This window comes from Homo sapiens, chromosome 7 (genome assembly GCF_000001405.40).
Source record: "Homo sapiens chromosome 7, GRCh38.p14 Primary Assembly".
NCBI classification, from domain to species: Eukaryota; Metazoa; Chordata; class Mammalia; order Primates; family Hominidae; genus Homo; species Homo sapiens.
The window spans coordinates 149734880-149742811 of record NC_000007.14 but is presented as its reverse complement, the minus strand read 5'-3'; the positions used below and the strand labels follow the sequence as shown (position 1 = coordinate 149742811).

At 46.6% G+C, this 7932-nt stretch overlaps 1 long non-coding RNA gene across 1 annotated transcript, besides 2 other annotated features; it reads left to right on the top strand.

Annotated features, from left to right (window-relative positions):
• Window positions 377-906: an enhancer, noted in NCBI's record as "H3K4me1 hESC enhancer chr7:149438995-149439524 (GRCh37/hg19 assembly coordinates)". NCBI's record gives its function as "activates a minimal SCP1, AML or CMV promoter by ChIP-STARR-seq in naive H9 embryonic stem cells {active_cell/tissue: H9 hESC(naive)}" and the evidence as "EXISTENCE:reporter gene assay evidence [ECO:0000049][PMID:30033119]".
• LOC124901771 (uncharacterized) lies at window positions 512-2938 on the top strand. Its single transcript, XR_007060585.1, has 2 exons — window positions 512-705; window positions 2800-2938. It is a non-coding gene; the product is annotated as an uncharacterized LOC124901771 (long non-coding RNA).
• Window positions 6835-7751: an enhancer, noted in NCBI's record as "H3K4me1 hESC enhancer chr7:149432150-149433066 (GRCh37/hg19 assembly coordinates)". NCBI's record gives its function as "activates a minimal SCP1, AML or CMV promoter by ChIP-STARR-seq in naive H9 embryonic stem cells {active_cell/tissue: H9 hESC(naive)}" and the evidence as "EXISTENCE:reporter gene assay evidence [ECO:0000049][PMID:30033119]".

Genomic DNA, 7932 nt, shown 5'->3' with positions numbered 1-7932 from the left:
TCCTAAATTGGGACGTGATGTTAAAGTTCATCTGGCTCTCATCATTCACTCCCTCCAAGTAGGAGTCCCTTCCACAGCCCCACAGGTGATGTCCTCATCTGAACCCAGCACCGCTGCTCGTGGCTGCCTCTCTGGAAGCCTGTGCCAGGATTAGGCACACACCTGATTCTCTCGGCAGTGGGGAACCTCCGAAGGAGGCTGCCCTTCCCCCACCTTCCAGCATGGTGACTGCAGAACCAAGCTCTGCTGTAGAAAGAGAGCTGGTAGCAAGGCGTCTCTTCACCCTCTGTCCAGTAATACACACAAGGTGGCTTCATATACAAGGCAGCGTGGGATCTCTGAGGAAGCCCTTAAGGTAATGTTCGGGAGTAGGAAGGTGGGCTTCACGACTTCTGTTTTCCCTTCAGCCCCCTACGGGGACCAGTTGCAGCCCTGAATTGTCATTGCCTCTCTTTCCCAGCAGATGGCGCCGAGGCGCTGGAACGGAAGCCCCTTTCCTTGACCAGCTCTCCCCTCCGAAATAGGGATTCCAGAAACGCAGGTTCCTGCCTCTCTGCCCGAGGTCTGGCAGAGCAGGTGGTCTCAGTGTGGTTTGATGGAGGAGCAAAGGCATTCCAGATTCAGAACAGCTTCCTGTTCTGCTCACAGCAGCCTCAAAGTCGATTGAAAGTTTCTGGCAAAATACAAATTATTTCCTGGGAGGAGGTAAGAGAATGGATTAATTTACTTAGTTTCCTAGTTGAGAATTTCCCAAGGTACTGGGACTCAGAGCAGATGTGTCATTATTGGTGGGGAGGGGAGGTAAAGGAAAGTCTGGCTCGATTATTCTCAGCTGCGACCCGGGACTGTGGCGGGGCTTGCACACACTCACAGCTCCTTCTGGAGACCTCCGCCCGCTTATCTTTGGGGGCCTGTGGTCCCTGCCTGGCCCACTGTTCTGGCGAACTGCGGCCGCCTAATGCAGTGCCACCAGCCTGCTGAGACGTACAGTGGCTGCTCCCGGGCTCCTGGCACTCTGAAATCTGGCATGCAATAAACGCATGCTGCCTGTGGAAGGCAGACAGATGCAGAAGTTCTCTGTGGTTAGCAGGGGGAATGGCTGGGAGGCAGCAGTGGTAAACTCTGATTGTTCTACAGTTTTGCCAACAAGAATGGTTCTCAATACGGGCTGCATGGCAGAATCTCCAGCAATTTATAAATATACCAATTGAATGTGTACGTTTTTGTATATTGTATTTTAATAAAAAGTTTATACACGCATACATATGGCTAGATAGATGATAGATGCCAACTCCATCTATCAATCATCTCATTCTCCATGAATGAGAATCTGTACAGGTGGGGCCTAAACCTGATTTTTTAAATCTCTCTCAAGTGACCCCAGTTTGCACTCAGGGAAGAGAACTGTTGCTCTATGAACTTCTCCATCATCTTAAAGATCCATGTCCAGATTACCACCAAGCCAGAATCATTTTTAAAAATTTTAAATGGAGGGGATGAAGGAGTGTCTGAGGACATGCAGGGTCAACAGAGATGCCCTAGGGCAATGCCCTGTCTTCTGTAACAAAGTGTGACTGGCCTGTTAACACGGGAAACTGAAGCATGGTGCTGAGCCTGAGGTGTTGATGGTACCAGCTCATGGTTTCTACTAGAATCCAAGGGTCCAATAATAAACACTTGGAAAATTTCGATGCATTTATTCCAACGCCTTCACTGCCTTTTTTTTCTTTTTTTTTTTTTTGAGACAGAGTCACACTCTGTCGCCTGGGCTGGAGTGCAGTGGCACAATCACAGCTTGCTGCAACCTCCACCTCCTAGGTTCAAGCGATTCTCCTGCCTCAATCTCCCAAGTAGCTGGGATTACAGATGCACACCACCATGCCCAGCTAATTTTTTGTATTTTTAGTAGAGATGGGGTTTCACCATGTTGGCCAGGCTGCTCTCGATCCTGGCCTCAAGTGATCCACCCACCTCAGCCTTCCAAAGTGCTGAGATTACAGGTGTGACCCACCGCGCCCAGCCCACTCTCTGTCTTAAACCCAAAAAAGAGTGTTATTCAGAGATTCAATCCAGGTTTATTGAACCCCCACTATGTAGCTGATCCAGTGTTGATGCCAGATATACCATATGTATTTGCCTCATCCACAGAGCTTACAGTTGGGGGCTGGTGGGTGTGGGGGGCAGACATTCAACAAAGTAACACACAAATAGATGCTGCAGATTACTAATTTTTATAACAATCTATTTCTTCCTCCCTGATTTGCCTCAGACACTGACGAATCTAATGTGAAGGTCCAGAGTTCAGTGTGCCTCTCGCCCTGCATGTTTTGGGGCCTTCCTTAGCTCTGAAGCCAGAGAATCCCAGCTCAAACTCACCTAGCAACTGTGTAGCTTTGAGCAAGTTTCTTAATTTCTGTGCTTCAAGGAAATCACAAAAAGTGCTCAATAGTTCTCTCCACATAAATCTTTTTTAGATTGATTCCTGGGCTCTTGAGTTTTTTGTTACTACAAATAAAATCTTTAAAGTAATACTTTCTAACTGTTGGCTGTGGGTATATGTAAATATAACTTAGTTTTGGTATACTGGTTTTTAACACTTCAATATGTCACCATTAAGCATATTAGCTATTGATATGGTTTGGCTGTGTCCCCACCCAAATCTCATCTTGAATTGTAGCTCCCATAATCCCCACATTATGGAAGGGACTCAGTTGGAGGTAACTGAATCATGGGGGTGGGTTTTTCCCTTGCTTTTCTCATGATAGTGAATAAGTCTCATGAGATCTGATGGTTTTACAGAGGGCAGTTCCCCTACAGTCTCTTGCCTGCCACCATGTAAGACATGCCTTTGTTCCTTCTTCACCTTCCGCCATGATTGTGAGGCCTCCTCAGCCACGTGGAACTGTGAGTCCATTAAACCTCTTTTCTTTATAAATTACTCAGTCTTGGGTCTGTCTTTATTAGCACCATGAAAATAGGCTAATACAGCTATCATCTTTTTTTTGGTATATAATCCTCATCAAATTAAGAAATTTCCTTTCTCATCCCAGTTCACTTGGAATATTGATGGGTGCTGGCTCTTATCAAGTGATCTTTCTGCAGCTATTGAGATGATCATGTGACTTTTCCCCTTTAATCTATTATTGTGGGTTACCACTGGTGATTTTCAAACGTTGAAACCATTCTTGATCGACAAGATGAAGCCAACTGGGTAATGATGTTTTACTCAGTAAAACATTTTGTGTATTGCTAGATTCTCTTTGGCTAATATTTTGTTGAGTATTTTTCCTATGTACATTTTTTGAGATTAGCCTGTAATTTTGTTCTCTTGTACTGTCCTCAAGTTTTGGAAATTTCAAGATTATGCCAGTCTCGTAAAACGAGTCAGAGAGTGTCCCATATTTTTCCATTCTCTGGAATAGTTTGTATATTATTGAAATAATTTCCTTTTTAAATGTGAGATAGAACTTACTAGTGAGGCCTTTTGGGCCTACAGTTTCTTTTCTTTTTTCTTTTTTAGATGGAGTTTTCTCTTGTTGCCCAGGCTGGAGTGCAGGGACGTGATCTTGGCTCACTGCAACCTCCACCTCCCGGGTTCAAGTGGTTATCCTGCCTCAGCCTCCCAGGTAGCTGGGATTACAGGCGTACGCCACCACACCTGGCTAATTTTTTGTATTTTTTAGTAGAGACAGGGTTTCATCATGTTGCCCAGGACGGTCTTGAACTTCTGACCTCAGGCCATCTGCCTGCCTTGGCCTCCCAAAGTGCTGGGATTACAGGCCTGAGCCACAGTACCTGGCCCTACAGTTTCTTTTGTAAGATGTTTGATCACTAATGCATTTTTTTTTCAATGGTATGGGACTATTCAGGTTTTGTTTTGTTTTGTTTTTGAGTCTAAGTTGCATTCTTATGGGAGTTATTTTCATTGAATTTTCAAACTTTTGGCAAAAAGTTGCTTATAATATCATCTTATTGTCTTTCTATAGCCTGCGGCATCTGCAGTAATGTCACCTTTTTCATTCTGAGACTGGTTATTTGTGCTTTCTTTTTTCATTGATGATTTCATCACAGGCTAGTAGTCAATGTTATTAGCTTTGTAAAGAAATGATTTTTGGCTTTGTTGATTATATCATTTATATGTATGCTATTTCAGTAATTTCTGCTCTTATATTTGTGTGCCCTTTTTAACTTTTCTTTGGATTTCCTTTGCTGTTCTGTTTCTCCTTGTGAATTCTGTCCTTCCTTTTCCACATACTCACTTATGTCTATACATTTCTAAGTACTGATATTGCTTTATGCTACACATTTTGATATGGTTCCTTTCCTTTCCTCTCCTCTCCTTCCTTCCTTGTTTTCTTTTTTTTGAGACGGGGTTTCACTCTGTCACCCAGGCTGGAGTGCAGTGGCACGATCTCGGCTCACTGCAACCTCCACCTCCTAGGCTCAAGTGATTCTCCCACCTCAGCCTCCTGTGTAGCTGTGACTAAAGGCACATGCCACCACACCTGGCTAATTTTTGTCTGTGTGTGTGTGTGTGTGTGTGTTTGTGTGTATGTGTATGTATGTGTATATATATATATATATATATATATATATATATTTTTTTTTTTTTTTTTTTTAAGTAGAGATGGGGTTTTACCATGTTGCCCGGGCTAGTCTCGAACTCCTGGACTCAAGTGATCTGCCTGCCTCAGCCTCCCAAAGTTTTGGGACAACAGCCGTGAGCCACCACACCTGGCCTGTGGTACTTCCTTCATGGTGGGAAACATTTTTAATTTCCATTATGATTTCTTCATTGACACATGGGTTATTTTAGCAGCATAATTCTCATTTTTGAATATATAAGAATTTCTGGTTATTATTTAATTCTAGCTTAAAAGGTAAAAGTATTGTCAGAGAACATACCCTATATAATTTCAATATTTTAAATTTATTTACACTTACTGTAGGGCTTAATATATGGTCAATTTTTGTAAATGTCCTGTGTATGCTTGAAGAGAATGTATATTAAGCAGTCCCATGGCACACAGTTTTTGTTTGCTTGTTTGAGATGGAGTTTCACTCTTTACACAGGCTGCAGTGCAGTTGCATGATCTCAGCTCACTGCAACCTCTGCCTCCCGGGTTCAAGCGATTCTCGTGTCTCAGCCTCCCAAGTAGCTGGGATTACAGGTGCATGCTACCATGCCCAGCTAATTTTTGTATTTTTTGTAGAGACAGAGTTTCACTGTGTTGGCCAGGCTGGTCTGGAACTCCTGGCCTCAAGTGATCCATCCGCCTCGGCCTCCCAAAGTGCTGGGATTACATGTGTGAGCCACCGCACCCGGCCCCATGGTGTACTGTCCTATACGGGCCTCAATCAGGCCAATTTTGTTAAGGAGTTTGTTCGAATCTTCTACATCCCTCCCAATTTGTTCCATCATTTTCAGAGAAAGATATGCTAAAACCTCCCAAATATGATTGTGAATTTGGGTGTTTCTCCTTTTAGTTCTTTACATTTTGAGGCCAGCAGAGGAAAAAATGGATTTTTTTTTTAACCCACAACAGTGTTAATACAAAATAAGGCAGGGAAGAGAAGCCCCCTCGGAAGAGGTGGGACAAACAAAAAGCACAAAGTAAGAAAGTCTGTTAAAGCCTCAATAAATCAGTCAGTCAATTACATTTAAATGGATTAAGGGCTCCCAGTTGACGAGCAAAATCTGTCAAGATGGTTTATGAGATAAAATCCATAGGTTGTGCATAGGAGCCACATCCAAAACACAAACCCGCACAAAGGTTAACAGCATGCCTGCTGCTCTTGACCAAGCACCTTCAGCGGGGAGCAGTGAATCGTGGTTCTTGCACCCCGCAGGCCAGCCTCCCTTCCATCAGGACCCCTGGGGGTGGCCAGAAAATAATAGGGGCACGAGGAGCCCATTCATTCATATTTTGAAGCGGAACCTTCACATGTTCCTGCCTGCTGGGGGACTCTGGCTGGCAGACTGGGAAGGTCGCACTCAGATCAGCCAGGACCCGTTCGGCTCACCCAGGATGGAATGAGCAGCCTGGAGCCTTCTCTGCCCCCAATTCCAAACCCTGGAGCTCCTTTGAGTTCAAAAAGGTCCTTCAGTTTCTCCCATCAAAGGGACCACATTTCCTCTTCCAAGCCACACTGCACAGTTCTTAAAGGAGATGGGCACAGTGCCAAAGACCTAAACTGCATCTAGATTTTCCACTAGATCAATTCTAGAAGGCGTTTCAGTGACTGTGGACAGGTCCTGGAGACCTAGACCTAGGGAACTGCTTCTGCAGGAGGAACGCAGCTGCAGACCATGGAACTTCTTACCACTTATTACTTAGAATCCACATTCTTAAAACAACTTTAAACTTATTATATGGTCCAACTGGGTCTGGACCACCTAGACCAGGCTCAGTCCTGAATACCCTGGTCTGTCCCAGCAGGCAAAGGCTGGGAGGGGGCATCTGTGCCCAGGGTGAGGATGCGCCGAGTGCTGGCGGCACTGGTGAGGGCTCGAGCTCTCTTCCTAGCTCTGCTGGTTGAAGGCTGCCTAACTGTGACAGTCACTTACAGCCACCATGCTCATTTGTTCAGTCGTGCCTGTCAACTAGGGTTTGCGTGGTGGCTGTTTCGGAAGCCAGCAAAGCAAAACCACCTTAATGTGCCACACAGAAGTGTAAGGTGACCCCCCCTCCCATTGAGTCGACAGCCCAGTGACCCCTGCTTAGAAGGGAAAGGAGAATGGGAGGACAGGCAGGCACGATGGGACTGCACCAGCTGCAGCAGGGGTGGGCAAGAGTCCTCTCCTCACAGCCAGAGTCAGGGCAGGGGCAGTTTCGCTTCTCAACCCCCCTCTGAAACTGTGTCCCACCCCTTGCCGTGGCTCTGAAACGTGCCCGGCACTGCTCCCTGCTTATTAGAAGGAGAGCTCCTCAGGCAGGAGCAACCTAGAAACTTTCCCTTCCTGATTCTGTGCAAGCACGGCTGTGAGCGAACAGCCTCCGTATTTCAACAAACATCCTACTTGTATGGTCTTAGGATCTGTTTCCAGACAGTCACCTCGGGGCTCACTCTAGTCCTGAAAGCATCTTCCCATCCCTTTGTGATGTTCAGTCTGTTGCGGGCATTCCCCTCTGACAGGTGTCCTTGCCCTGCTGCTTCTACAGGGTGGCAAAGAGCAAGGGCTTCAGCTCCCAAGCTCAGCTGCAGGGCACTTAGGCCCCGAGTGTGTCCCCAGTGACCCTGACTTGAGGGACACACTGGGCGCTGCAGCCACAAGGCACTGCTCCTGTAGTCATGGTGGGCAGCCAGCATTGCCCCAGGCCACAGTGCTGGTGTCCCAGGCTCCTCAGGGACCTGAGGACAGGGCCAAGTGTGCCAGTCCACACCAGGCTGGCCCTGCCAGTCCACACCAGGCTGGCCCTGCCAGTCAACAGGTGCACATACAGGTCCTGAAACCACCTCAGGTCAAATAAGGGATTTGGGGGCACACAGGTTGCATTCTGCCTCTTGGGAAGATGATGCAAGGGAATGACAGGCAGGCTGGTTCCAACGCATTGCCAAGCGCCAGCTGAGCGGGCTGGGAGCAGGCACATTCCGGTAACCAGGACAGAAGTGGGCTAGTGATACCTGGTCATGTCTTTTCCCAAGACAAAACCAGGAAGACTGGCCCAGCCCGTTTGGTGTGTTACAGGCTGAACTGTGCCCCTCCCCAAATGTGTATGGTGAAGGCCTAACCTCCAGTACCTCCAAATGTGACCTCACTTGGAGAGGGGGTGTTTAGAGAGGTAATCAGGTTAAAATGAAGTCATTAGGGTGGGTCATAACCCCATACAACTGCTGCCCTGATATGAAGGGGAAATCTGGAGACAGCTGTGTAGAAAACACCATCTGAACAGGAAGACAGCCATCTACAGGTCAAGGGGAGAGGTCCGG